Here is a 27,213-nt window from a genome sequence, read left to right on the forward strand (position 1 = left end):
AAGACCAGCCTGGGAAACAGTGAGACCGTGTCTCTACAAAAAATGCAAAAATTGGCCGGGCGAGGTGGTTCACACCTGTAATACTAGCACTTTGGGAGGCTGAGGTGGGTGAATCACCTGAGGTCAGGAGTTTGACACCAGCCTGGCCAACATGGTGAAACCCCGTCTCTAATAAAAATACAAAAAATTAGTCGGGCATGGTGGTGGGCACCTGTAATCCCAGCTACTCAGGAGGCTGAGGCAGGAGAATCGCTTTGAACCTGGGAGGCGGAGGTTGCAGTGAGCTGAGATCATGCCATTGCACTCCAGCCTGGGCAACAAAAGTGAAACTGCATCTCAAAACAAACAAACAAAAATTAGCTGGGTGTGGTGCCATGCACCTGTAGTCCCAGCTGTTTGGGAGCCTGAGGTGGAAGGATCGCTTCAGCCTGGGCAGAGGTTGTAGTGAACTAACATGGTATCACGTCACTGTACTCCAGCCTAGACAACAAAGTGAGACCTTGTCTTAAAAAAAAAAAAAGAAGCCAGGCGCAGTGGCTCAGGCCTGTAATCCCAGCACTTTGGGAGGCCAAGGTGGGCAGATCACCTGAAGTTGGGCGTTAAAAACCAGCCTGACCAACATGGAAAACCTCGTCTCTACTGAAAATACAAAATCAGCCAGGCATGGTGGCGCGTGCCTGTAATCCCAGCTACTCAGGAGACTGAGGCAGAAGAATCGCTTGAACCTGGGAGGCGGAGGTTGCGGTGAGGCGAGACTGTGCCATTGCACTCCAGCCTGGGCAAAAGAGTGAACTCTGTCTCAAAAAACAAAACAAAACAAAAAACCAAAACGGAAGAAAAAGAATTTTTTCTCAGCTGGGCACAGTGGCTCACACCTCTAATCACAGTACTTTGAAAGGCTGAGGCAGGAGGATCTCTTTAGACCAGAAGTTTGAGACCAGCCTGGGCAACAAAGCAAGATCGCATCTCTACAAGAAAAATTTTAAAACAGCTGGGCATGGTAGCATGCGCCTGTGGTCCTAGCTACTTGGGAGCCTGAGGTGGGAGGATTGCTTGCATCCAGGAGTTCGAGGCTGCAGTGAGTTATGATAAGACCACTGCACTCCAGCCTGGGTGACAGAATAACACTCGGTCTCTTAAAAAAAAAAAAAAAACGGCCGGGCGCGGTGGCTCACGCCTGTAATCTCAGCACTTTGGGAGGCCGAGGCAGGCAGATCACCTGAGGTTGGGAGTTCAAAACCAGCCTGGCCAAAATGGTGAAACCCGGTCACTACTAAAAATACAGAAATCAGCCGGATGTGGTAGCGCATGCCTGTAGTCCCAGCTACTCAGGAGGCTGAGGCAGGAGAATCACTTGAACCCAAGAGGCAAAGGTTGCAGTGAGCCGAGTTTGTGCCACTGCACTTGTCAGGGCAACAGAGTGAGACTCTGTCTTAAAAAAAAAAATTTCTTCTCTCTTCTAGTGACTCCAACGCCTTGCTATGTGGCCTTGAGCAAGCCCCTTCCTTTTGCTGGACATTGATTTCTATATATGTGAAAGGAGAGAGGAGTTGGGTTAAGGGACTCACTAGGGGCCGCCATGGAGGCCTGACACTGTGACTCAGCATTTCCAGGATGTGATGGACCTGCTGAGAGCTCTTGGTTGATGCTTTTGAACCGTCCTCCATTCCGAACCCTGTTTCCTCCCAAGAGCCCTGCCCAGAGTCTTTCCTGCTGCCACAGAGAATGCATTTGTGCTCAAACAGTGACTGCAGTTATAAGAGACGGGGGACAATGCTTTATTGACTTGGCACCTATGAACTGGTGGCTACAGGCCCCCAGGGTTCTTCACTCCTGCAAAGTGGAGGCTCTGTGGTGGAGACGGCATAAATCAGAGATGCTGGTTCCAGCTGCAGGGAGGGGCCACTGTCCCTGCTTTGGCCCCTCCCCCAGTCCCCTTGTCCAGCCGAGCACCATCTGAGTTAGTCCAGGCCCTCGCGGAGCAGGGCAGGACAGGGACCCAGGTTCCTCTGCAGCCCCTGAGGGCCCAAGGTAGGAGCTGTAGGCCCCTCCTGCCTTCCCTCTTCTTGGGGATCCCAAGATGGGTTGGGGGAAGAGGAGATACCCCATTTAAAGAGCCCCTGAGCCTCCTGGATCTAGGTCAAGGAAGGCAGAGTCTGGTGCTATAAAAAGAGCCCCACCAAACAGAAGAGTTAGGAATCATCCTCTTCCCCTCGTTTTGGTTTTGGCTGAGCAAAACCACAGGAGCTTTCACTGAATTGGGCTCACAACAGTCGATGACAGGCTGAGGTCACGCAGTAAGTGGACGGGGGTACAGCCAGGCTCCCCCAAGCAGGACTGCACTGTCTAGGTAGGCTCTCTCCCAGGCAAGGGAAGGAGGGGCAAAGTGAACTGTAGTCATCACAAGAGGAGGGCTTCCTGGAGGAGGAAGGGAGGTCACAGCTCCCAGAAGAAGAGGTGGTCTGCAGAGCGGGCTGGGTCATGAAGGCTGGCACAGGACACTGGCATCCTCGCTGTGGTCACAGTTGTGGGCATCCCAGCGGATATGAGAGCAGAGCAGCAGAGCACTTTCTTCCCCACGGCACTTGACATTGTCCAGGAGAATGGGGCCTCGGCCTGGGCCAAAGTGAGCCTCGCCAGGGGCTGCGAGGGCCTGGCCACAGCCCAGCTGGCGGCACAGGACACCGGCTGCCCGCAGGTCCCAAGCATCATCACAGACAGTGCCCCACCGTTGCCCTAGGTAGAGCTCTACACGTCCCTCGCATCGGTGGGCTCCATTGACCAGACGTAGATGCCCTGTGGGGGGACAGGGCTGGGTTGGAAGGGGCTGGTCCATGCCAGGCCACTCCCAAGCTAGGTCAGGTTGGCAGTAAAGAGAGGTCTGAGACACTCTGAGCACTGCCCTAGGAGCCGCTAGATGAAGGCAGACACATGAAATTAAAGTAAGATTGGCGCTGGCTGGGCACAATGGCTCACGCCTGTAATTCCAGCACTTTGGGAGGCCGAGGCAGGCGGATCACGAGATTAGGAGATCGAGACCATCCTGGCTAACAGGGTGAAACCCCGTCTCTACTAAAAATACAAAAAATTAGCTGGGCGTGGTGGCGGGTGCCTGTGGTCCCAGCTACTTGAGAGGCTGAGGCAGGAGTATGGCATGAACCCAGGAGGTGGAGCTTGCAGTGAGCCGAGATCGTGCCACTGCACTCCAGCCTGGGCGACAGAGTGAGACTTCGTCTCAAAAAAACAAAAAAGAAGATTGGCGCTAGGTGCGGTGGCTCATGCCTGCAATCCCAGCACTTTGGGAGGCTGAGGAGGGAGGACTGCTTGTGCCCAGAAGCCGGACAGCAGCCTGGACAACATAGCAAGACCCTGTCTCTAAAAACAAAACAAAACAACAAAACAAAAATTAGCCGGGTGTGGTGGTGTGTGCCTTGTAGTCCCAGCTACTTGGGAGACTGAAGCAGGAGGATTGCTTGAGCCCAGGAGGTCCAGGCTGCAGTGGCCGTGATTGTGCCACTGCATTCCAGCCTGGATGACAGAGCAAGACTCTGTCTCAAACATATATAAGATGGGGCCAGGCGCAGTGGCTCATGCCTATAATCACACCACTTTGGGAAGCCAAGGCTGGTGGATCACTTGAGGTCAGGAGTTCGTGACCAGCCTGGCCAACATGGTGAAACCCTGTCTCTACTAAAAATACAAACGCACAAAATTAGCTGGGTGTGGTGGCACATGTCTATAATCCCACTTACTGGGGAGGCTGAGGCACGAGAATCGCTTGAACCTGGGAGGTGGAGGTTGCGCCACTGCACTCCAGCCTGGGTGACAGAGCAAGACTCTATCTCAAAAAAATAAAATAACAAATAAATAAATAAGATGAGCATCAGTCCAGACCCATAGTCTCAGGACTGGGAGAAAGCGTGCAAACGTTTTTGAGTGATCCGCGACGTGTACTGGGTGCTTCATGTCTGCTCTCTCTCTAGTCCTCTGTTCATAATCCCAGTACCCCAGCCCCAGGCCGGCTGTTTGGAGACTCTGTTACATCCTATTGTGTCCCCTGAAGGTCATCACGGTCTCCTGCACCCCCCTGGGCTCCCAGAACTATATTCTGAATTTTTTCATTGCTCTGCTCAGGACAGGATCCTTATCCCCTCATTCTGATCTCACCTCTAGAAATCTCCAGATTGCTGTAGTTTAAAGCTCACCTCCTTCTTTCTGGACACCATATTCCTACAAAGGAGGCCTGAGACCAACAAAAAGGACAAGACTTCCAGGTCCCGGTGTGAATCTGCTGAGCTTTATAACCTAGGCTGTGACCTCCCCCAATCCAGGTCCTTAAGACCCCGATGCCTCCACCCACTTTCAGGGGATTATGGGCACCTACCGTCCCTGGGCCGAGGAGTGGGCACCCGCGTGGTCTCAGAACCATCCTGCTGGACTTGCAGTCCCAGCTCCTCTGGGCCTGGTTCAGGAAGGACAGAGATAAAGAGGTGGCTCTCACAATGGGAAGCATGTTCCTTAGGGCCAGGTCCCCTCCTGCTCTCCCCAGGAAAGCCTGTCCTAGGGACAAAAAGGACTTCACAGGTTCCTGAAGAACTGCTCCCCTTGATCAGAAATGCGGGTTGTGTCACTGAGTGGGTGCAGTGGCTCACACCTGTAGTCCCAGCACTTTAAGAGGTCAAAGTAAGGCCGGGCATGGTGGCTCACACCTGTAATCCCAGCACTTTGGGAGGCCGAGGCGGGTGGATCACCTGAGGTCAGGAGTTCGTAGACCAGCCTGGCCAACATGGTGAAACCCCGTCTCTATTAAAAATACAAAAATTAGCCAGGCGTGGTGGCATGCACCTGTAGTCCCAGCTACTCAGGAGGCTGAGGCAGGAGAATCGCTTGAACCTGGGTGGCGGAGGTTGCAGTGAGCCACTGCACTTCAGCCTGGGTGACAGACTGAGACTCTGTCTCAAAAAAAAAAAAAAAGTCATGGTGAGAGGATCGCTTGAAGCCAGGAGTTCGAGAGTAGCCTGGGCAACACAGTGAGACCTCATCTCTAAAAAAAATTCAAAAATTAGCCAGGCACGGTGGCATGCCCCTTGTGGTCCCAGCTACTCTGGAGGTTGAGCGGAGTAGGATAGCTTGAGCCCAGGAGTTTAAGGCTGCAGTGAACTATGATCGTGCCACTGCAGCCCAGTCTGAGTGACAGAGCAAGACTCTGTCTCAAAAGAAAAAAAAAAAGAAATAGGTGTTGTGCCTCTCCAAACCTTGGCCCCAAAACAGAACCCTCTGTGGCCAAAACTATGGGAAGTAGGGCCTACTAGCCCTGGGGCACCAAATGAGGGTGAAGATATCAATTCCCACAGCAATCAATGAATTTCACAATGTTCTGCCAAACTGCAAACACCCCTTTCCACTGACTCCGCCCAAAGGTCACACGCTAGCTCTGGTAAGGGTGATCCACTCTCTGCTTAATAGAGTTTTGCGGGGTCTAGATTTAGCCGGGAGCAAACGGCCCCACCCTTTACGGACTTGATGCCTTTCTCGAACTGGGATCGGCCTTAGCCCTGACCTTCGGACACCGCCCCTCACAGCTGCACCACGCGGCGCTCACCAGGCCCCGCCCCATTTTCCACTGCAGAAGGCTCTCCGTTCCGGCCTCGCCCCGCCGCGCAGCCGCAGAGCGGGCGCACGGCGGGGCGGCGCCCCTCTGCGGAGTGCGCATGCTCCCCGGGCGGCAGTGCCGCAAGAGAGGCCTCGCGCGTGGCGCCGCCCCGCCCCTCCCACGCCGCAGTGCGCGGCCCCGCTGTCAGCCTCACCTTCGCTGTCAGCCTCACCTGCGCAGAGCGCTCCCGCGTCCTCGTGGTGGCCGCAGTTGTGCTGGCCCCAGCCCAGGTGGAAGCAGTCGCTCAGGCGAGCCTCGGTGCCGGCGCAGCCCACGTTGTCCAGCAGCACGGGGCCGCGGCCGTAGCCGAAGTGGCCCAGTCCCGTAGCGCCCAGCGCAGGCCCGCAGCCCGCTTCGCGGCAGGCCACGCGCGCGTCCGCAAAGTCCCAGTCATCGTCGCACACGGTGCCCCAGCCCCCGGCGTGCAACACCTCCACGCGGCCGCGGCACGGACCCGGGCCGCCCACCAGTCGCAGCCGTCCACCTGCGGGGCGCACAGGCCCGCGGCCAGAGGGGCTGGGCTGGGGCTGCCGGCTCCCGGCAGAGCCCCAGCCCTACCCTTCCCCATCCCCCGCAGACCCAGGCACCGCCACTTACTTTTCTTCCCCGCGGCCCAGGCGGCGGTGGTGAGCAGTGCTGTCTCCCGGGAAGGCTGGGGGCCAACTCCTGTAGCTGTGGAGACAGGGCATCTAGGGCGTTCGAAGGGGACGAGGAGGCCTTCTGTCCTGCAGCAGGGCACGGGGACGCCTACCAAGACCCCCAACCCTACCACACCCGTACCCCCACTCAGCTGCAACCCCAGAGTCACCACGTTGTCTGGCGCGGGTTGGGATCTCCGGGAAACTTGGTTGAATGAACCGAAAGCTAATTCTAGGTATTATCCTAACTTCAGGCCCAGGGATAGTTCCTATCCTAATTCCAATTGCACTGCTAACCTTGACTCAACCTTCATCTCAATCGACCCCCTCATAAGGTCTCTCAATTCCCAATCTCAGCATCATCCCATTGAAAAAAAAGTTTTTTTAATTTCGAGACAGGGTCTTGCTCTGTCGCCCAGGCTGGAGTGCAGTGGTGCGATCATAGCTCACTGCAGCCTAGAACTCCTGGCCTCAAGTGATCCTCCTGCCTCGGTATTCCAAAGTGCTAGGACTGGTGCGACCCACCATGCCCAGCTAATTTTTTTTTTTTTTTTTTGATACAGAGTTTCGCTCTGTCTCGCCCAGACTGTGGTGCAGTGGCGCAATCTCAGCTCTTTGCAACCTCTGCCTGCCAGGCTTAAGCAATTCTCCTGCCTCAGCCTTCCAAGTAGCTGGGATTACAGGCGCCCGGCTAATTTTTGTATTTTTATTTATTTATTTTTAATTTTTGTATTTTTAGTAGGGATGGGATTTCACCATGTTGGCCAGGCTGGTCTTGAACTCCCAACATCAAGTGATCCACCTGCCTCAGCCTCCCAAAGTGCTGGGATTACAGGCATGAGCCACTATGCCTGGCAATTTAAATATATGTATGTATAATATATATATATATATATATAAAATATGTATAATATATATGATATATATAAATATATAAAATATGTGTATAATATATATGATATATATTATATATAAGATATATATAATATATATAAGATATTTATTTATTTATTTATATTTAGAGACAGGGTCTAGCTACGTTGCCCAGGATGGTCTTTAACTGACCTCAACAGATCCTCCTGCCTGTTTCCCAAAGTGCTGGGATTATAGGAGTGAGCCACCGCCCACATCCCAAATTTTACTTCTGTGCTTTGAAGAAATCTCTTACTGCCTCCTCCCACCCCGCTGAAGTTTTCAGAGCTCTGAGTTTCATCATCCTTGCTCCGTCTGCTCATAATTGTCTCACCCACCTCTGCACCATCTGGCCAAAGCCCTGGCCTGTTAGCCAGGGCCCCCGCCTGTGAATCCAGAACATTCTTCCCAGTTCCCAGCCGCACCCACCATACCCCTACCATTCCCGCCTGGAGGGCTGAGCTCTTTACCGGACGGATCTGTCTGCCAAGCCCAGTCCTCTCTTGTGGCTGAGGATGGCAGTGCTGTGAGCGTTGGGGGACCCAGGCCTAGGGCAGGAGAGAAGGGGGCAGGGTCAGAGGCTGAGATTCTGGTCTCTGGTCAGCCATGGGCTGTCAGGGGAGGATAGGAGGGTCTGCCTGGAGGAGAGAATAGATGTTACTTCCAGGGCTGGTGGCCCAGCCGCAGCGGGGTTCCAAGGAGGCCTGTCCCCACTTTGATAGTGGTTGTAATTCACTTGTGCTGTGAGGTGTACACTTCAGTTTATACAGGGCTGTCAACAGACACGCTTTCATTTCTCTCTAATGTCCCATGTTCTCATCAGAAGTCCTCTGTGTCCAACAGACATGGAGTACAGAAGGCCTTGCCCATCAGGGAGGACCATACACAGGCCTGAGTTCTCATTATCCTCCTCTTTTCTTTTTTTTGAGATGGAGTTTCGCTCTTGTTACCCAGGCTGGAGTGCAATGGTGCGATCTCCGCTCACTGCAACCTCCGCCTCCCAGGTTCAAGCGATTCCCCTGCCTCAGCTTCCTGAGTAGCTGGGATTACAGGCGCCTGCCAGCACGCCTGGCTAATTTTTGTATTTTTTTTAGTAGAGATGGGGTTTCACCATGCTGGCTAGGCTGGTCTCAAACACCCGACCTCAGGCGATCCGCCCATCTCGGCCTCCCAAAGTGCTGGGATTATAGGCGTGAGCCACCGCGCCCAGCCCATTATCCCCCTCTTACAGAGAAAACAGGGCTAGCAGGGCAAGGGCCATGCCCAGGGTTAGCAGGGGCTCTGTCAGGGCTCACTGAGACAGACTTCTGCCCTCCTACAGCCCCTCTTAAAGTGAAAAAACAAAAAACAAAAAAACAACTAATCTCTTGAGTGGGGAATGGGGCAGGAGGGAGGACTCACTCGACTCAGGAGGTGGAGCTCAGATACCGGGCCAAATTGAGGACTAGCTAAAACAGGGATGGGGTGGGAGTGCCTCTCCATGAGATACGCCCACTCGTATGCCATGTCAGTTTACCATTGCCGTGGCAACACCTGGAGTTACCTTTCCATGGCAACGCAGACAACCCAAAAATTACTATTCTAGTTCTTAAAATATCTGCATAATCCACCCCCTAATTTGCATATACTTGAAAGTAAATAGAATTACGACTGCAGACCTGCCTCTCAGCTGCTACTCTGGGCACACTGCCTATGGGGTAGCCCTGCTCAGCAAGGAGCAGGACCTCTGCTGCTGCTGTGCATTGCCGCGTCAATGAAAGCTGCTAACACCAGCTGGCCCTTAAATTCTTTGCTGAGGGAAGCCAAAAACCCTCCTGGACTAAGCCTCGATTTGGGGGCTTGCCTGCCTTGCATTAACTGTGTGACCATGGGCAAGGCTCTGACTCTCTGGGCCTCAGCTTTCCCACCTATACACTGGGAATGATAGCCCTTAGTTTGCTATGAGTTATGAGTTGTGGGCAACCACTTTATCTCTTACAGAGCAGAGTCCATCTGTGAAATAGCATTATTGGCCCTATTATTCCTCTTTGCTGAGAAACCCTCCCAAATTGGAGAGGGCCTAGGTGGGGAGAAAATACTATTATTAGAGCATCAGGATGACAGAGGGGTGTGCTAGGTAATGCTGTGAGCATCAGAGAATGCTGGAATATCTCTGGGGCAATTCTAGAGTGTTACTCCGAGTGTTATCCTAGAGTGTTACTCTAAAGTGGTCCAGGAACAGTACTTGCTGGAACATTCTGGAGGCATTCTTGGGATATTGCTATAGAATTCTCGAGTATTGGTGAAGCAATAGTACAGTTTTTTTGTTTGTTTGTTTTGAGATGGAGTCTGTCTCTGTCACCCTGGCTGGAGTGCAGTGGCGTCAGCTCGGCTCACTGCAACCTCCACCTCCTGGGTTCAAGCGATTCTCCTGCCTCAGCCTCCCGAGTCTCTGGGATTACAAGCATGCACCACCACGCCCGGCTAATTTTTGCCATGTTGGCCAGACTGGATTAGTGCAATATTGTTTCATAGCCATGGAGTGTACCACAAGGAGTTCTGGGATATTCGGAGGCACTTCTAGAACAGGACTGAGATAGAAGTAATTTTGGATGCTGCCTGGAGAGCTCTGGGGAGCATCAAGACAGCCAAAACACCCTCCCCATCCACCTCCCCACCGAAGCCTCCTCCTCCAGCATTGCCACAGGGCCCCGCCCACCTGCCCCGGCCCCGCCCATCGCCCCTAGAGCCCGCACCTGCGCAGAGCGCGCCCGCGTCCTCGTGGTGGCCGCAGTTGTGCACACCCCAGCCCAGGCTCTGGCAGGCTGCCAGGCGGGGCTCGCCGCCTTCGCAGTGCACGTTGTCCAGCAGGATGTGTCCGGTGCCATAGCCGAAGAAGGCGTTGGTGGTGGCGGCCATGGCCGCCCCGCAGCCCAGCTGACGACAGACCACAGCGGCATCCGGCAGCCCCCAGTCGTCGTCACACACGGTGCCCCACAGGCCACTGTGCAGGATCTCCACTCGGCCCTGACACAGGTTCGCGCCCCCTACCAGGCGTACGCTGCCCTCACCTGGGGATGGGGGCGGGGGTCAGGGCGCATCTCCCACTGGCCTCTGCCCCCGTCCGCACCGCAAGGGCAGCCCGGTGTCCCAGGATCTACAACCCTTGGGCATCTGCTCACCCCGCTGCCCAGGGTACCGCCTCCTTGGTCCAGACTGGGGGTAGCTTGTGGGATCATAGTATCATTTCTGCCTAAAACCAACCCCCCTACCCTGCTCCCTGTCTCCTGGCAGCCTGGGACGTGCTGCCTTCTCATCTACTGCAAATGACATCCTCAAGATACAGCCCCACACCTCTTCCTCCAGGAAGCCTTCCCTGATCTCCTGAGGAACGGGACCCTCTTCCACCTCTGGACTTCTTTGCCTCTTTCACTGTCCCTCTTTTAGAGCACTTTTCATTTTCTTCTTCTAGTCATGATCATCATTCTTGGGCTCATCTGACCTTCCTGTGAGATTAAGCTCCAGTCTCACCGCCCATTCATTTTCTATTTTTTTTTTTTTTTTTTGAGACAGGGTCTCACTGTGTCCCCCAGGCTAGAGTACAGTGGCATGATCTTACTGCAACCTCTGCCTCCCGGGTTCAAGTGATCCCCCTGCCTCAGCCTCCCAAGTAGCTGGGACTACAGGAATATGCCACCACGCCTGGCTAATTTTTGTATTTTTTGTAGAGACAGGGTTTCACCATGTTGGCCAGTCTGGTCTGGAGCTCCCAACCTCAAGTGATCCGCTGGCCTCGGCCTCCCAAAGTGCTGGGATTACAGGTGTGAGCCACCATGCCCAGCCATTTTCTCTAACTTTACATCTTCAATTTGTAATCCCTGTCTTCCCACTGCCTAGGGTAGGGTGTGAGAGACTCCTCTCCCAAAACCCAGGTGGTGCCCACATTATGCTTACGTACTTTTTCCATTCGGCAGTGTCGTAGGAGGTGCTCTACTGGTTAACATCTTCCTTGTTGGGGGCTGCGTTGGCAAGAATTCTGGAAAGGAAGTGAAGTGGATACAGGGGTCTTTCTGTTCTCCATCCTCACACCACGGGGTGTTTAAGGGGCAGGAGGATGGACCCATAAGGTGCTTGCCGCCAGAGCCTCTGGCCACACAAAGAGTCACAGCCAGGAACACTGGGGTATGAGAGGAGAGGGTCCACACCAGAGTCCTGGACTCCTCTAAAGCACGGTTTTTGTTGTTGTTTTTTATTTTATTTTATTTTTTGAGATGGAGTCTTGCTCTGTCGCTCAGGCTGGAGTGCAATGGTGCAATCTCAGCTTGCTGCAACCTCCGCCTCCCTGGTTAAAGCAATTTGCCTGCCTCAGCCTCCTGAGTAGCTGGGATTACAGGTGCCTGCCACCATGCCCAGCTAATTTTTTGTATTTTTAGTAGAGATGGGGTTTCACCATGTTGGTCAGGCTGGTCTTGAACTCCTGACCTCAGGTGATACACCTGCCTCGGCTTCCCAAAGTGCTGGAATTACAGGCATGAGCCACCGTGCCCAGCCTGAAGCACAGTTCTTAAAGCAGTTCACCTCCCTTGGGAACTGTTAGCGATGCAGATTCTCAGGCCCCATCCAGACCTGCAGAATCAGAAACTCTGGGATTGGGCCTCAATCTGTGTTTTCATGAGACCCCCTGATTTTCTTGAAAACTAGAAGCACTGCTCTCAGTTTCCGCTGCAGCTCTATGCCACGTGGAGCGCATGGCCAGTGTGACCCCAATAGTCGTTTTTTTCTTTGTTTTTCGAGACAGGATCTTGCTCTGTCACCCAGGCTGGAGTGCAGTGTCACAATCACGGCTCACTGCAGCCTTGACCCCCCCAGACTCCAGCGATCCTCCCTCCTCTGCCTCCCAAGTAGCTGGGACCGCCCCCAACACCTTGCTAATTTTTCTGATTTTTCGTAGAGATAAGGTACTATGTTCCCAAGATGGTCTCAAACTCCTGGGCTCAAGCAATCTTGCCACCTTGGCCTCCCAAAGTGCTGGAGTTACTGGCATAAACCACCATGCCCGGCTGATTGTCTGGTTTTAAAACTAGGAGAGGGGAACCAGTGGGGTGACTTGGACCTGTAGTTCCAGCTACTGAGGCGGGAGAATCCCTTGAGCCCAGGAGTTTGAGGCTGCAGTGGGCTATGATCACACCACTGCACTCTGGTCGGGACCAAACAGTGAGACCTCATCTCCAAAATCTCTAAAAAAATTTTTTTTAAAGGGAGAGGGGCTCTGCTGGGACAATCAAAGCCTTACATAGAAGCAGTAGTGCTGGTTTTCTTTTGGTCCAAGGTCAGGGTCAGGCAATGACCCAGAAGAATCCCTGGGACCCAGGCTGGGGTTCTTCCCTGGCACCAGGCATTGTAGCCTCTGGCCTGATCTGCATGGAACAGCCTTACCTGTGGGAAGTCCCTTCATTTATCTAGCCTACAGCCCTGCTGCCTGCCACAGTCTGTCTGTCCCTCCAGGTCCCAGGGCTCCACTCACCATCACACAGGACAGCCACATCCTCGTAGTGAAAGCAATTGTGGACGCCCCAGCCGCGGCTGCCGCACTCGCTCAGCGCAGCTTCCTGCCCGCGGCACTCCACGTTGTCCAGCAGGATGGGGCCTCGGCCTTGGCCAAAGGCAAGGGGCCGTGGCACGGGCAGTGCCAGGCCACAGCCCAGCTGGCGACACACTACGTTGGCGTCCACCACGTCCCAGTCGTCATCACAGACGCTGCCCCAGGAGCCACCGTGCATGACTTCCAGGCGGCCCCGGCAGCGGCTGGGGCCCCCCACCAGCCTCAGCTCTGTGAAGAGGGTGGAGCTGGCACCAGGGGGTCACTGAGTCCAACCTCCAGCATGCCCACTCCAGGATGTCCTTTTATTTTATTATTATTTTTTTTGGTAGAGACGGGGTCTCACTATGTTGCCAAGGCTGGTCTCAAACTCCTGGGCTCAAGTGATCCTCCTGCCTTGGCCTCCCAAAGCGCTAGGATCACAGACGTGCACTACGGGACCCAGCCAGGTTACCCGCTTTGCCATGAAGCCATGGGAACCTTGGGATCAATCCCTTCTGGAAAATGGGGAGACTACAGCTCCCCTGAGATGGGGGCATCTAGAGTCAAGGGGGGCTGGTTAGTCATCACTTCCTGTGGTTCCCTGTCTGAGGCTGGAGTACCTGGCGGACAGGTGAGGGTGAGGAAGGGCGGGGTGGGGCACCTACCTTGAAAGGGCAGTGGAGTGGGCTGTAGGGCGCTGGCTGAAACAGAGTGAGGAAGAGCATTGGCCCCTCTGCCCACACCATGGCTCCCTGGTCCCAGGAACACACCCCCCAACTCCCACAGTCCTCAACATTACCCCCATCTTCTTGGACTTCAGTACCCCTGCTTTGCCAAAGCCCCATTGTCTCTTTCTCTGACTGTCCTGATTGGCTTCCCTGCCTCACCCCTCTCCTAGTGGTCCCTGGGCCAACCTAGAGAGATCTGCGGGTGTAAATCTGTAGATCTGCACATCTCAAACTAATGCTAAATCCCATAATGACCCCTGTTACCTACAGGAGTCTCAGCTCCTGAGCTTTCACTACAAAACCTTCTAGAATCTTCTAACCATTCTGACCAGCCTCGCCTTTTTTCTTTTCTTTTCTTTTTTTGAGACAAAGTCTCACTCTTGTCACCCAGGCTGGAGTGCAATGGCACGATCTCAGCTCACTGCAGCCTCTTCCTCTGGGGTTCAAGCGATTCTTCTGCCTCAGCCTCCCGAGTAGCTGGGATTACAGGTGCACACCACCAAGTCCAGCTAATTTTTGTATTTTTAGTAGAGATGGGGTTTCGCCATGTTGGCCAGGCTGGTCTTGAACTCCTGACCTCAGGTAATCCACCCACTTTGGCCTGCTAAAGTGCTGGGATTATAGGTGTGAGCCAACACACCTAGGCAAGAGCTTTTTTCAATTCCCAGCTTGGAGCCCCTTCCTCTGGGAAGCCATCCTGGAGCCCTCAGCTAGAAGTGCTCTCTGTTTCCTCTGAATTCCTGGACACCACATACCCAGGCCTCTTTCAGGGCCTTCTCTGGTAATGTGGCCATGCCTGTCTCAACTCTGTGTCCCCAGACTCTCCGCTCAGAACCTGGTACTCAGCAGATGTTCAGTAGCTCCACCTTAAATGTGTAAATTGGCTTTGGGATTCATCATATTTCCCTCCCTAAAGATTTACCTAGATGAGTCCTTCTACTTCATTCTTCTTCTTCTTCTTCTTTTTAAGACAGTGTCTCAGTCTGTCACCCAGCCTGGAGTGCAGTGACATGATCATAGCTCACTGCACCCTCCAATACCGGAGTTCAATCCATCCTCCCGCCTCAGCCTCCAGAATAGCTGGGACAAGCTCCTGCCACCCTGCCCAGCTATTTTTTTTTTTTTTTTTTGAGACAGAGTCTTACTCCATTCAGGCTGGAGCACAGTGGCATGATCTCATCTCACTGCAGCCTCTGCCTCCTGGGTTCAAGTGATTCTCCCACCTCAGCCTCCCGAGTAATTGGGACTGCAGGCGCACACCGCCACACCCAGCTAATTTTTATATTTTTTAGGTAGAAATGGGGTCTCACCATGTTGGCCAGGCTAGTCTTGAACCCTTAACCTCAAGTGATCCGCCTGCCTCAGCCTCCCAAAGTGCTAGGATTACAGGCATGAGCCACCGCTCCTGGCCTAATTTTTTAATTTTTTGTAGAGACAGGGGTCTCACTTTGTTGCCCAGGCTGGTCTCGAACTCTTGGCCTCAAGTGATCCTCCCGTCTCAGCCTCCCAAAGTGCTAGAATTACAGGTGTGAGCCACCTTGCCTGGCCTTGAGTCTTTCTGCTTCAGCCATCATGTATGTCCTCATTGCTTTCTTTTTTTCTTTTTTGTTTTTCTTGAGACGGAATTTCGCTCTTGTTGCCCAGGCTAGAGTGCAATGGTGCCATCTTTGCTCACCGCAACCTCCCCCTCCTGGGTTCAAGTGATTCTCCTGCCTCAACCTCCCAAGTAGCTGGGATTACAGGCATACCACCATGCCTGGCTAATTTTGTATTTTTAGTAGAGATGGGGTTTCTGCATGTTGGTCAGGCTGGTCTCAAACTCCCGACCTCAGGTGATCCATCCGCCTCAGCCTCCCAGAGTGCTGGGATTACAGGCGTGAGCCACTGCACCCGGCCTTCATTGGTTTCTTTAGGCGAACTCAGTTAATCATTAGGATAATTTATAAGTTAGGCAGGATTTTACAGACAGGGCAACTTCAGGGTTAGTGAGATTAGACAACTTACTCAGGGCCACGTAGCAAATCAAGGGTAGAGCTGAGAGACTACCCAGACAGCCACACTCTTCTTCATCATGCAGTTCTGAGCACGATGCTTGAGAGTGGAGGTGGGAGAGGAAACAGGGAAGTGAAATTTGCCTACCAGGCAAAATGGAAAGCCGGAAAATAATTCCTCACTTGTGGTCCGAGTATGACAGTTCTGACACTTTCCTTATAACCACCCCCTGCAGCCTGTACTTGTGTACGCATTTTACTGATGAAGAAACTGAGACTCCACTTCTTTTTTTTGAGACAGAGTCTCGCCCTGTCACTCAGGCTGGAGTGCAATGGCGCAATCTCAGCTCACTGCAACCTCCACCTCCTGGGTTCAAACAATTCTCCTGCCTCAGCCTCCTGAGTAGCTGGGATTACAGGCGCCCGCCACCATGCCCAGCTATTTTTTGTATTTTTAGTAGAGACGGGGTTTCACCATGTTGGCCGGGCTGGTCCTGAACTCCTGACCTCATGATCCGCCCTCCTCAGCCTCCCAAAGTGCTGGGATTACAGGCGACAGCCACCGTGCCTGGCTGATTCAACTTATTCTTATTTATTTATTTATCTTTATTTCTTTTTGAGACAGAGTCTCGCTCTGTCACCCAGGCTGGAGTGCAGTGGCGTGATCTTGGCTCACTGCAACCTCCACTTCCCAGGTTCAAGTGATTCTCCTGCCTCAGCCTCCTGAGTAGCTGGGATTACAGGTGCGTGCTGCCAAGCCTGGTTAATTTTTGTATTTTTAGTAGGGACGCGGGTTTCACCATGTTGGCCAGGCTGGTCTCAAACTCCTGATCTCAGGTGATCTTTCCGCCTTGGCCTCCCAAAGTACTGGGATTGCAGGTGTGAGTCACCGAGCCCGGCCTTCTTCTTATGTTTGGATAGTCCCTAGGTCATTTGATTTCATCTCTTTTACCAGCTGTCTTTCCAACAGCCATTGGTGAGCACACCCTCTTTCTGTCCTTCCCTGTGCCCAGTGTCCCCTAACTGCCCATTCCATGGGTGCGTTTACCTGTCACCTCCAGTACTGAGCCCTTCATTCCCCAAACTCAGACTCTTAGCTCTTTTGTCAACTCTGGGCAAAGGTCAGCATTGGAAAGAACAACAGGAACGAGCTCATTCACAACCCTCCTCCTACTATAAAGTTACAGCTGGGACAACTGAGATTCAGAAAGAGGAAGTGGCAAGGGCTAACAGGGGAGGACTCACCCAGTGGCAGGAGGAGAAGGAAAGACAGGGCTTGGGGGAGGAAGGGAGGGGCAGCACTCCCATCTCCCAACCTCCACCCCCAGCGCTTCTCATCCAGCTGGGGACCAATTAGCATCTCTGCTTCCTTGTGCATCTAGATGGTGAAGGGTGTTTCAGATGCTCCCATCAAGGCGCCAGGGAGAAGTCACAGTTGGAACATCTGAAATTAAAGATCCCAAATGTTGCTGGGCCTCCCAGCACTTTGGGAGGCCGAGGTGGGAGGATTGCTTGCACCCAGGGGTTTGAGATCAGCCTGGGCAACATAGTGAGACCCCCATCTCTACAAAAAGTTTTTAAAAATGAGGCCGGGTGTGGTGGCTTATGCCTGTAATCCCAGCACTTTGGGAGGCTGAGGCGGGTGGATCGCTTGAACCCAGGAGATCGAGATATAGCCTGGGTAACATGGCGAAAACCTGTCTGTTACCAAAAAATGCAAAAATTAGGCCGGCTGCGGTGGCTCATGCCTGTAATCCCAGCACTTTGGGAGCCTGAGGGAGGCAGATCACTTGAGGTCAGGAGTTCGAGACTAGCCTGGCCAACATGGTGAAACCCCATCTGTACCAAAAATACAAACATTTGCCAGGTGTGGTGGAGTGCACCTGTAATCCCAGCTACTCGGGAAGCTGAGGCAGGAGAATCTCTTGAACCCGGGAGGTAGAAGTTGCAGTGAGCTGAGATCATGCCACTGCACTCCAGCCTGGGCGACAGAGCAAGACTCTGCCTCAAAAAGAAAAAAATTAAATTTTAAAAATACAAAAATTAGTAGATTTTTTTTTTCAGACAGAGTCTCACTCTGTGGCCAGGCTGGAGTGTAATGGCACAATCTCGGCTCACTGCAACCTCCATCTCTCAGGTTCAAGTGATTCTCCTGCCTCAGCCTCCTGGGTAGCTGGGATTACAGGCGTGCATCACCACACCCAGCTAATTATATATATATATATATATATATATATATATATATATATATATATGTATTTTTTTCTTTCTTTCTTTCTTTTTTTTTTTTTTTTTTTTTTGGTAGAGAGGGTGTTTCACCATATTGGCCAGGCTGGTTTCGAACTCCTGACCTTAAGGGATCCGCCCACCTTGGCCTCCCAAAGTGCTGAAATTACAGGCGTGAGCCACCGTGCCAGCCCAGAACATTTCTTTTTTATGAGTCGGGTATGGTGACACATGTCTGTAGCTGCAGCTAATGGGGAGGCTGAGGTAGGAGGATCACTTGCACCAAGGCTGCAGGAAAAAGAAAAAAGTTCCAAGTGTTTACTTCCTAGAGGGGTCAGCTTCAGGGGAAAATGACATTTCCACTTGCCTTTGGCATTCTGAGTGGAGACGACGGCAGAGGCAAAAGCTGGGAGGTGAAAAAGATGCTGCTTGGATGGAAACGCATGAGGAGTCGGTCATGGCTGTAGCTGAGGATGTGTGAAGAGGGCAAATGGTGGGAGAGGGGGTTGGCAGGGTTGGCTCGGCCCAAACCATGACCAGCCCAAGGACTCAGAGATTATCCTCCAGGGCTGCACATTTGATTTTGTTTTCTTTCTTTCCTTCCTTCCTTCTGTCCCTCCTTCCCTCCCTCTCTCCCTTTCTTGCCTCCCTCCCTTTCTTTCCTTCCTTCCTTCCTTCTTCCTTTCCTTTCCTTTCTTTTCTTTTCTTTTCTTTCTTTGATGGAGTCTCGCTCTGTCGTCCAGGCTGGAATGCAATGGTGCGATCTCCGTTCACTGCAAACTCTGCCTCCCGGGTTCAAGCGATTCTCCTGCCTCAGCCTCCTGAGTAGCTGGGATTACAGGCACCCGCCACCACGCCCGGCTCATTTTTTGTAGAGATGGGTTTTCGCCATGTTGGCCAGGCTGGTCTTGAACTCCTGACCTCAGGTGATCCACGCGCCTCAGCCTCCCAAAGTGCTGGGATTACAGGCATGAGCCACCGCACCTGGTCTGTGCATTCGAAATATAGTATTGGTGCCACGGACAGCAACCCACTTAATTTGGGAGGATATAGATACTCATGTATTGTTTTATTTTCAATAATTCTTTTTAAATTGTACAATGCCTTCTAAAAAGGACTCTGGTTTTCCGTTTATCAGAACAATATAGTCTCCCTTTCAAATTAATTAATTAATTTTTTTTACTTTAAAGAATTTTTTTATTTTTTATTTTTTACAGATAGGGTCTCACTCTGTCACCCAGGCGGCAGTGCAGTGGCATGATCATGGCTCACTGCAACCTCCCTATCCTGGGCTCAAAGGATCCTCCCGTCTCAGCCTCCTGAGGAGCTGGAACTGCAGGCTTGCACCACCACACCCAGCTAATTATTTTTCTTTTTTTCTTTTTAGTAGAGATGGGCTCTCGTGCTGTGTTACTCAGGCTGGTCTCAAACTCCTGGCCTCAAGTGATCCTCCTGTCTTGCACTTTTTTTGTTTTTAATACCCCAATCCTAAATCAGAAAAAAAAAAAAATCTTCAAGGCCTTTCCACCCAAAATGGGCCGAGCATTGTAAGCAGCGTTTAGTCTCTCAGACCTTCCTTCACTTTTTTTATGTATTTGTGTGTCATGGTAACTATGATTTACTTAATATTTTTCTCATTTTATTGGCACATTTCTTCTGATTTAAATTATTTATTTATTTATTTATTTTTGGAGACAGAGCCTCCCTCTGTCACCCAGGCTGTAGTGCAGTGGCCTGATCTCAGCTCACTGCAACCTCCACCTCCTGGGTTCAAGGAATTCTTCTGCCTCAGCCTCCCGAGTAGCTGGGATTACTGGCATGTGCCACCATACTCGGCTAATTTTTGTATGTTCAGTAGAGACGGGGTTTCCCCATGTTGACCTGGCTGGTCTGGAACTCCTGACCTCAAGTGATACACCCGCCTCGGTCTCCCAAAGTGCTGGAATTACAGGTGTGAGCCACCAGGCTTGGCCCTGATTTAAATTAACTCTAGGCCAAGTGTGGCAGCTTACTCCTGTGAGCACTTTGGGAAGCTGAGGCGGGAGGATCTCTTTTTTTTTTTGAGACAGAGTCTCGCCTTGTCGCCCAGGCTGGAGTGCAGTGGCACAATCTCGGCTCACTGCACCCTCCACCTTCCAGGTTCAAGCGATTCTCCTGCCCCAGCCTCCTGAGTAGCTGGGATTACAGGCGGGTATCACCACGCCCAGCTAATTGAGGGAGTATCTCTTGAGCCCAGGATTTCAAGACCGGCCTAGGCAACATAGTGAGACCCCATCTCTACAAAACTAAAAAACAATTAGCTGGGCATGGTGGTGCATGCCTGTAATCCCAGTGCTTTGGGAGGCTAAGGCAGGAGGATCACTTGAGCCCAGGAGTTCAAGGCTGCAGTTAGCCATGATCATGCCACTGCACTCCAACTTGAATGACAGAGTAAGACCCTGTCTCTAACTAAAAAGAAAAAAAAAGTGCATAAACCATGAGCTTAGAGCTCAAAGAGCATTCACACCATGTAACCAGTGTCCCAGAAGCCTCTCTCACGTCCCCTTTTCTTGCAGACTTTTAGCAAGGGTCTGATGCATTGTGTGCACTGTGGACTGGTTGGTTGGGGAGAGATGGGAAGCTGGTTTAGAGGCTGATGCAGTTGTCCAGACTCTAGGCCATAGGAGGCAGAGAGGAAGGAGAGATGCGAAGGATATGTGGGAGACTGAACTGGCAGGACTGGGCTACTCTTGGTGTTGGGGGTCAGGGAGCTAGGAGCATCCATTTGGCTCCCAGCCACCCTGATGGGGACTTTGTAGGAGGCGGCGGTAGAGAGGATGGTTCTGTTTGGGCTACACTGAGAGTGGGACTGGGGGACATGGGTGCTTGTCCCAGAAGGAGCTCCCCACCATCCCTCCAACCCCCTCCTCTCTCTGGCTTTACCTGTGCCCTGGTGTACAAAGTCTGGTTGGGGAGAAGATGAAAGCCTATCTGGATGCAGACACAGGGATTTCAACACCCCATTCATGGGGCCCAGGACAGCCCCCAGTGGAATAATCACCTTTTGTCCTCCTTCTGCCTGGACTGGGGACAGCTGGGAGATGGGAGCTGAGAACCATGAGGAGGGGGAAAGACACAGTCCAGTCTTTGCTTGTTGTGGGGGGGCACATAGTTATCTTGGCCTCCTTTTGCCTCCTGGCCTCAGTGCCACCCACTTCTCAGGCTGCTGGGATACTGGCCCCCCAGGCCAGATCAGCCCCCACCCTGGGGACAGGCAACTTCCAGAGACCCTGCCAGGAATCCTCAGCTTCCCCACCTCTATCCCCTGCCACCTCAGCCCAGGCGTGAGGGAGAAGGACCCCCGATCCTGATCCCCACAGATTTCAAATCCCAGGTGACCCCAGAGCCCTCTGCCAAGCCTGCCTCCTACCCTCCCAGCTCCAAGGTGGGCCCCTCCAGTCTGCTCCTGCTTCACGCCCAAGGGAACACTGGCAAGACAAGGCTTCATCCCTCCCTGTCCTTGGTGATTAGGGCTCTTGAAAGCCCTCCCATCCCTTCATATCCCTTTCAGAGTCCATCTGTTGCCTACATTTTCTACAGTACAGCCGGCAGCCTAACACAGCGGTTCATATTGCAGCATCAGCTCCACCATCTCCTAGCTGTATGACCTTCACCTTGCAAAGCCTCACTGTTCTCATCTGTAAAATGGCTTTCGTGATCCACTTACCCCTTATCATTTTTGCCAAGTTCAATGAGCAAATGTTTTCACAAGGCTTAGCCCAGTGTCTGGCCCACTCTAGGTGTGGTAGCTATTGTTATCATTACTGTTTCTCCATCGAGACTGCAGACCCTTGAGGGTGGAAACCAGATCTCATTCAGTGGTTGCCCTTGGCACAGGGTGGATACTCAGGAAATGTTTGTTGAGTGACTGAATCAAGGTGATGGCTACAGAATCATAGAAAACAGCAGCCAGAAGGGGCTTGGGAGATTAACAAGGACAATTTCCCATCTGACCAGTGGGAAATGGTTGCCTCTCTCTCTCTCTCTCTCTCTGTCTCACACACACACACACACACACACACACACACACACATGCATGCACACGCACACACACACAAACACTCCAGCAAAAGTGAAGGATTCATACCTGGGGGAATGTTCTGGGCTCTTTCTGTCCCTTCTTCTACAGTCAATCCAAGATCGAATCACTTTGTCTGCCCCTGGAAGTTTAGGAGGAGGAAGGATCTTCCAAATGGAAATCAACACAGGCGTTTCTTCTTTTCTTTCCACAGCTGGAAGGTGAGCAGAGGCAAAGTCCCTGTCCATGGAGCTGGCTGGTGGCCCCAGCCTGTCCCCATCCGACCTTAGGGACAGCAAGAAGCAAAGGGGAGTGGAGGTGGCCGGCACCAGCTGGAGCGGCCCCAGAAAAAGGGCACCCAGGTGGAGGCGGAGCTATGTGGTTGGGGGAGGCATGGACTCTCAAGGCCAGGCAGCCCCTCCTCCCCCCACAGCCCCCCCACCCCAGGGTTCAGGTTTCAGGAAGGCCTGGATAGGTCTCCACCCCTTTGCAGGGCAGCCAAGCATCCTGATCTTTGGAGGTAGCCCTGATCCAGCCCAGGAGTCCCGCCTGATGATGTCCCGACCCACATCTCAGCTGAGGGTTTGGAAATGGTCCCAGGAGCCACAGTGTATGGAGTGGGTTTCCCACATAGACAGGACCTCACAACCTCACTTGGGGGCTGCTGATTTTGCCTTCTTTTTTTTTCTTTTTTCTTTTTTTTCAGACAGAGTCTCTCTCTGTCACCCAGGCTGCTGGAGTGCAATGGCACGATTTCGGCTCCCTGCATCCTCCGCCTCCCAGGCTTAATCAATTCTCGTGCCTCAGCGCCCGAGTACCTGGGATTACAGGCATGCACCACCATGCCAGGCTAATTTTGTATTTTTAGTAGAGACTGGGTTTCTCCATGTTGGCCAGGATGGCCTTGAAATCCTGACCTCAAGGGATCCGCCTGCCTCGGCCTCCCAAAGTGCTGGGTTTACAGGTGTGAGCCACCGCACCCAGCCTAATTTTGCCTTCTTGTGTAGTTCTTTTTTTTTTTTTTGAGATGGAGTTTCGCTCTTGTTGCCCAGGCTGGAGTGCAATGGTGTGATCTCAGCTCACAGCAACGTCCGTCTCCCCGAGTTCAAGGGATTCTCCTGCCTCAGCCTTCCAAAGTGTTGGGATTACAGGCATGAGCCACTGCACTGGCCAAAAAAAAAAAATGTTGAGAAGCTCCTGAGGATCAAACAAATTGGGGACCAGTCCCAGCTTTTTATGGTGAGGCTGGGAAGACTGAGGCCAAGGGAGGAAAACAGGTGGCATGAGTGTGGGCCCGGCAGGACTTAATTTCCTGACTCCTGGTCATGATGCTGTTTCCTATTTCTTGGAAAAAGAAAGTACTAGATGTACCAGGCGAGGTGGCTCATACCTGTAATCCCAGCACTTTGGGAGGCTGAGGTGGGCAGATCACTTGAGGTCAGGAGTTCGAGACCAGCCTGGCTGACATGGTGAAACCCCGTCTCTACTAAAAATACAAAAATTAGTCAGGTGTGGTGGCGGGTGCCTGTAATCCCAGCTACTCGAGAGGCTGAGGTGGGAGAATCGCCTGAACCCGGGAGGTGGAGGTTGCAGTGAGCTGAGATCGCACCACTGCACTCCAGCCTGGGCAACAGAGCAAGACTCCATCTCAAAAGAAAAAAAAAAAAAAAAAAGAAAAGAAAATACTTGATGGAAGGCTGCCATCACCATGCTGCAAAATCTCCACGCCCCTGCTGCCCGCACCTGTCCTTCCTCCCTCCCTCCTCCCCTGGCCTGGGGAAGCCCCTTCCCTGAAGTCCAGATTCCATTCCTTCCGTCATCTCAGGGACCTCTTTCCCTCCATCTGCACATCTATCTGTCTTCCATGTTCAGCTGCTCCTTCCCAATCAGATTTTTCGGTTCCTAAGCAAGCTCTCGTCTTTCCCATTAAAGCAAACAGTGGCCAGGAGTAGTGGCTCATGCCTGTAATCCCAACACTTCCGGAAGCAAAGGCAGGAGGATCGCTTGAGACCAAGAGCTCAAGACCAGCCTGGGCAACATAGGGAGACCCCATCTCTATAAAAAATTAGAAACATAGCCGGGCATGATGGTGCGCACTGGGCTGTAGTCAGTTACTTGCAAGGCTGAGGTGGGAGGATGACTTGAGCCTGGGAGGTTGAGCCTGCAGTGAGCTATGATTGTGCCACTGCACTCCAGCCTGGGTGACAGAGAGAGACCCTGTTTTAGGGGAAAAAAAAAGAACGATGATGAGTTATTGCCACCCACCTATGAGAATGGTTGAAAAAAAAATAGTTGGTGATATCAAATGCTAGTGAGGATATGGAGAAACTGGGTTCCTCACACATTGCTGATGGGAATGTAAAATGGTCCAGATACTCTGAAATATAGTCTGACAGTGTCTTAAAAATCTAAATGTACATTCACCATATGAACTAGCAATTGTACTCCTGGGCATTTATCCAAGAGAAATGAAAACTTACATCTTCACAAAAAAAACCAGTATGTGAATGCTCATAGCAGTTTTATTTGTAATAGCCAAAAACAGGAAGCATTCAAAATTTCCTTTAGCTGGGTGAGGTGGCGTGTGCCTGTAGTCTCAGCTACCCAGGAGGCTGTGGCAGGAGGATCACTTGAGCCCAGGAATTTGAGACCATCCTGGGAAACACAGTGAGACTCCAACTCTACAAAAATAAAATAATTAGCCAGGCATGGTGATTCTTGTGGACCCAGCTACACGAGAGGCTGAGGTGGGAGGATCACTTGAGCCCAAGAAGTTGAGGCTGCAGTGAGCTGTGCTTGCGTCACTGCACTCCAGCCTGGGGGACAGAGTGAGACTCTGTCTCAAAAAAAAAAAAAAAGAAAAGAAAAAGATAAAAAAGGAATAACTGTTGATGTATGCAACAATTTGGATGGATCCCAAGGGCATTATAATGAGTAAAAAAAGCTAGTCTTAAAGCTCACACATTGTATGATTCCGTTTATAAAACATCTTCAAAATGATGAAATTGCACAGGTGAAAAACAGATTAGTAATGTTTAGGTTTAAGGATTGTGGAGGGCAAGAGTGGGTGTGATTACAAAGAGGTAGTACAAAGGGGTATTTATGATGATGAAATAGTTTTGTATCTTAATTGTATATGATAAAATAACAGAACTATACACACACCTTGTATCATGTCATGTTCTTGGTTTTGGTATTATAATTTTATGGAAGATGTAAACATTGCTGGGCGCAGTGGCTCACGCCTATAATCCCAGCACTTTGGGAGGTCGAGGCAGGCAGATCACCTGAGGTCGGGAGTTTGAGACCAGCCTGACCAACATGGAGAAACCCCATCTCTACTAAAAATACAAAATTAGCCAGGGGTGGTGGCGCATGCCTGTAATCCCAGCTACTCGGGAGGCTGACGCAGGAGAATCGCTTGAACCCGGGAGGCGGAAGTTGCAGTGAGCTGAGATCGCGCCATTGCACTCCAGCCTGGGCAACAAGAGCAAAACTCCGTCTCAGAAAGAAAAAAAAAAAAGATGTAAACATTGAGGAAGCTAGGGTGAAGGGTAACCACACATCCCTATACATTCCTTTCTTTTCTTTTCTTTCTTCTTTGTCTTCTTCTTCTTCTTCTTTTTTTTTTTTTTTGAGACGGAGTCTTTCTCTGTTGCCCAGGCTGGAGTGCAATGATGTGATCTCGGTTCACTGCAACCTGTGCCTCCTGGGTTCAAACGATTCTCCTCCTTCAGCCTCCCAAGTAGCTGGGACTACAGGCGCGTGCCACTGCGCCCAGCTAATTGTTCTATTTTTAGTAGAGACGGGGTTTCATCATGTTGGCCAGGCTGGTCTTGAACTCCTGACCTCATGGCCTCCCCAACTCGGCCTCCCAAAGTGCTGGGATTACAGGTGTGAGCCGCTGTGCCTGGCCTCTTCTTTTTTTGAGACAGGGTCTTGCTTTGTTGCCCAGTATGGAGTGAAATGCTGTGATCACAACTTACTGCAGCCTCAACCTCTTGGGCTCAAGCGATCCTTCCGCCTCAGCCTCTCAGCTTCCTGCGTAGCTGGGACTACAGGCGCATGCCACCACAACTTGCTAATTTCTGTATTTTTTTTTAGTAGAGTCAGGGTTTTGCCATGTTGGCCAGGCTAGTCTCAAACTCTTCAGCTCAAGCAATCCTCCCACCTTGGCTTCCCAAAGTGCTGGGATTACAGGCTTGAGCCACCATGCCCAGCCACCACTTCCTGTGAATCTATAATGATTTCAAAATAAAACTTTTTTTTAAAAAAAAGCCTCAATTGATTTACAACAACAAAACAGACTAATATTTTAATTTTATTTATTCATTTATTTTTTGAGACAAGTTCTCCCTGTTGCCCAGGGTGGAGTGTAGTGGCGTGATCATAGCTCATTGCAGTTGCGAACTCTGAGGTTGAAGTAATCCTCCCACCTCAGTTCCCCGAGTAGCTGGGACTACAGGCGTGCGCCACCATGCCCAGCTAATTATTGTATTTTTTGAAGAGACAAAGTCTCACTATGTTGCCCAGGCTGGCTTCAAACTCTTGGGCTGAAGCAATCCTCCTGCCTCAGCCTCCCAAAGTGCTGGGATTATAGGCATGAGCCACCTCATCTGGCCCATGCTGATTTTTCTTTCTTTCCTTCTTCTTCTTTTTTTTTTTTTTTTGAGACAGAGTCTTCCTCTGTCACCCAGGCTGGAGTGCAGTGGCGTGATCTCAGCTCGCTGCAACCTCCACCTCCTGGGTTCAAGTGATTCTCATGCCTCAGCCTCCCAAGTAGCTGGGATTACAGGTGTGTGCCACCACACCTGGCTAATTTTTGTACTTTTAGTAGAGATGTGGTTTTGCCATGTTGCCCAGGCTGGTCTTGAACTCCTGGCCTCAAGCGGTCCGCCTGCCTTAGCGTCCCAAAGTGCTGGGATTACAGGTGTGAGCCACTGCACCCAGCCCCATATTAATATTTGTATTTGAAAGCAAAAAATTTTAGTACCTCTCTAAGTCACCACCTCAAGGTGTGATAAATGGATTCTGACAAGTGGTTTTTCCTGACATGAGAAGCTGCAGGTGCCTAGGCGGTTGGTTCACTGATTTTCCTCCTCAAAGACCCTTTGGGAGCAGCCTGGCATGACTGGAGAGTGGGAAAATCTGCCTATGGTCTGTAAATGGATTCTCTCTGAGTTTGCCTATTACGGAATGTGTGCTTCTTCAACGCTTCCGCTCCTGGGAGGTCAGTAACACTCAAGTGCTGATGATTCCATTTAGGACAGTTAGGAAAAGACCTTCTCATGCAGGAACAGACTCTGCTTCTACCCCTTCCCTTTCCCCTTCCCCTTCCCCTCCTCCTCCTCCTTTTTTTTTTTTTTTTTTTTTTTGAGACGGAGTCTTGCTCTGTCACCCAGGCTGGAGTGCAATGCTGTGATCTCGGCTCACCGCCCCACCTGCGCC

General features: G+C 51.7%; 2 protein-coding genes across 4 annotated transcripts in view, besides 6 other annotated features; one reads left to right on the forward strand and one right to left on the reverse strand.

Moving 5' to 3' along the window:
• Positions 1,438–2,275: an enhancer, noted in NCBI's record as "H3K27ac-H3K4me1 hESC enhancer chr7:76018334-76019171 (GRCh37/hg19 assembly coordinates)". NCBI's record gives its function as "activates a minimal SCP1, AML or CMV promoter by ChIP-STARR-seq in primed H9 embryonic stem cells {active_cell/tissue: H9 hESC(primed)}" and the evidence as "EXISTENCE:reporter gene assay evidence [ECO:0000049][PMID:30033119]".
• Positions 1,758–22,118, reverse strand: SSC4D (scavenger receptor cysteine rich family member with 4 domains). Of its 3 annotated transcripts, XM_024446664.2 has the most exons (12): positions 21,835–22,118; positions 16,728–16,926; positions 15,496–15,582; positions 13,429–13,464; positions 12,707–13,012; positions 11,141–11,218; positions 9,939–10,253; positions 7,674–7,751; positions 6,251–6,325; positions 5,826–6,137; positions 4,385–4,462; positions 1,758–2,796 (listed from the first exon to the last, which is right to left on the reverse strand). In XM_024446664.2, the coding sequence occupies exons 2-12, from the start codon at positions 16,858–16,860 to the stop codon at positions 2,480–2,482; spliced, it is 1,815 nt and encodes a 604-aa protein (XP_024302432.1). In that variant the 5' UTR covers positions 16,861–16,926; positions 21,835–22,118; the 3' UTR covers positions 1,758–2,479. The 3 variants fall into 3 exon arrangements, with proteins under 3 accessions (XP_024302432.1, NP_542782.1, XP_016867239.1); NM_080744.2 differs by lacking the exon at positions 15,496–15,582; XM_017011750.2 differs by lacking the exons at positions 12,707–13,012; positions 13,429–13,464; positions 15,496–15,582; positions 16,728–16,926.
• Positions 2,276–3,112: an enhancer, noted in NCBI's record as "H3K27ac-H3K4me1 hESC enhancer chr7:76019172-76020008 (GRCh37/hg19 assembly coordinates)". NCBI's record gives its function as "activates a minimal SCP1, AML or CMV promoter by ChIP-STARR-seq in primed H9 embryonic stem cells {active_cell/tissue: H9 hESC(primed)}" and the evidence as "EXISTENCE:reporter gene assay evidence [ECO:0000049][PMID:30033119]".
• Positions 5,556–6,355: a silencer, noted in NCBI's record as "silent region_18315". NCBI's record gives its function as "represses an Ori minimal core promoter by ATAC-STARR-seq in GM12878 lymphoblastoid cells {active_cell/tissue: GM12878}" and the evidence as "EXISTENCE:reporter gene assay evidence [ECO:0000049][PMID:35858748]".
• Positions 9,816–9,975: a silencer, noted in NCBI's record as "silent region_18316". NCBI's record gives its function as "represses an Ori minimal core promoter by ATAC-STARR-seq in GM12878 lymphoblastoid cells {active_cell/tissue: GM12878}" and the evidence as "EXISTENCE:reporter gene assay evidence [ECO:0000049][PMID:35858748]".
• ZP3 (zona pellucida glycoprotein 3) overlaps positions 9,943–27,213 on the forward strand; it is a 44,548-nt gene continuing 27,277 nt past the window's right edge. The window contains exon 1 of the mRNA NM_007155.6: positions 9,943–10,218. The gene's annotated coding sequence lies outside the window, so the exon portion shown is untranslated. The remainder of the gene's footprint in view (positions 10,219–27,213) is intronic.
• Positions 10,106–10,235: an enhancer, noted in NCBI's record as "active region_26200". NCBI's record gives its function as "activates an Ori minimal core promoter by ATAC-STARR-seq in GM12878 lymphoblastoid cells {active_cell/tissue: GM12878}" and the evidence as "EXISTENCE:reporter gene assay evidence [ECO:0000049][PMID:35858748]".
• Positions 18,165–18,665: an enhancer, noted in NCBI's record as "H3K27ac hESC enhancer chr7:76035061-76035561 (GRCh37/hg19 assembly coordinates)". NCBI's record gives its function as "activates a minimal SCP1, AML or CMV promoter by ChIP-STARR-seq in naive H9 embryonic stem cells {active_cell/tissue: H9 hESC(naive)}" and the evidence as "EXISTENCE:reporter gene assay evidence [ECO:0000049][PMID:30033119]".

Source organism: Homo sapiens, chromosome 7, assembly GCF_000001405.40.
Source record: "Homo sapiens chromosome 7, GRCh38.p14 Primary Assembly".
Taxonomy (NCBI): domain Eukaryota; kingdom Metazoa; phylum Chordata; class Mammalia; order Primates; family Hominidae; genus Homo; species Homo sapiens.

Coding starts and splice junctions, on each gene's coding strand:
- SSC4D (XM_024446664.2), bottom strand. CDS start 16,860: ATGCACAAGGAAGCAGAGATGCTAATTGGTCCCCAGCTGGATGAGAAG. Junction 13,013..13,428: donor CACTCCACTGCCCTTTCAAG/GTAGGTGCCCCA, acceptor CCCTCTTCACAG/AGCTGAGGCTGGTGGGGGGC. Junction 11,219..12,706: donor TGTGGCTGTCCTGTGTGATG/GTGAGTGGAGCC, acceptor CTTCCTTTCCAG/AATTCTTGCCAACGCAGCCC.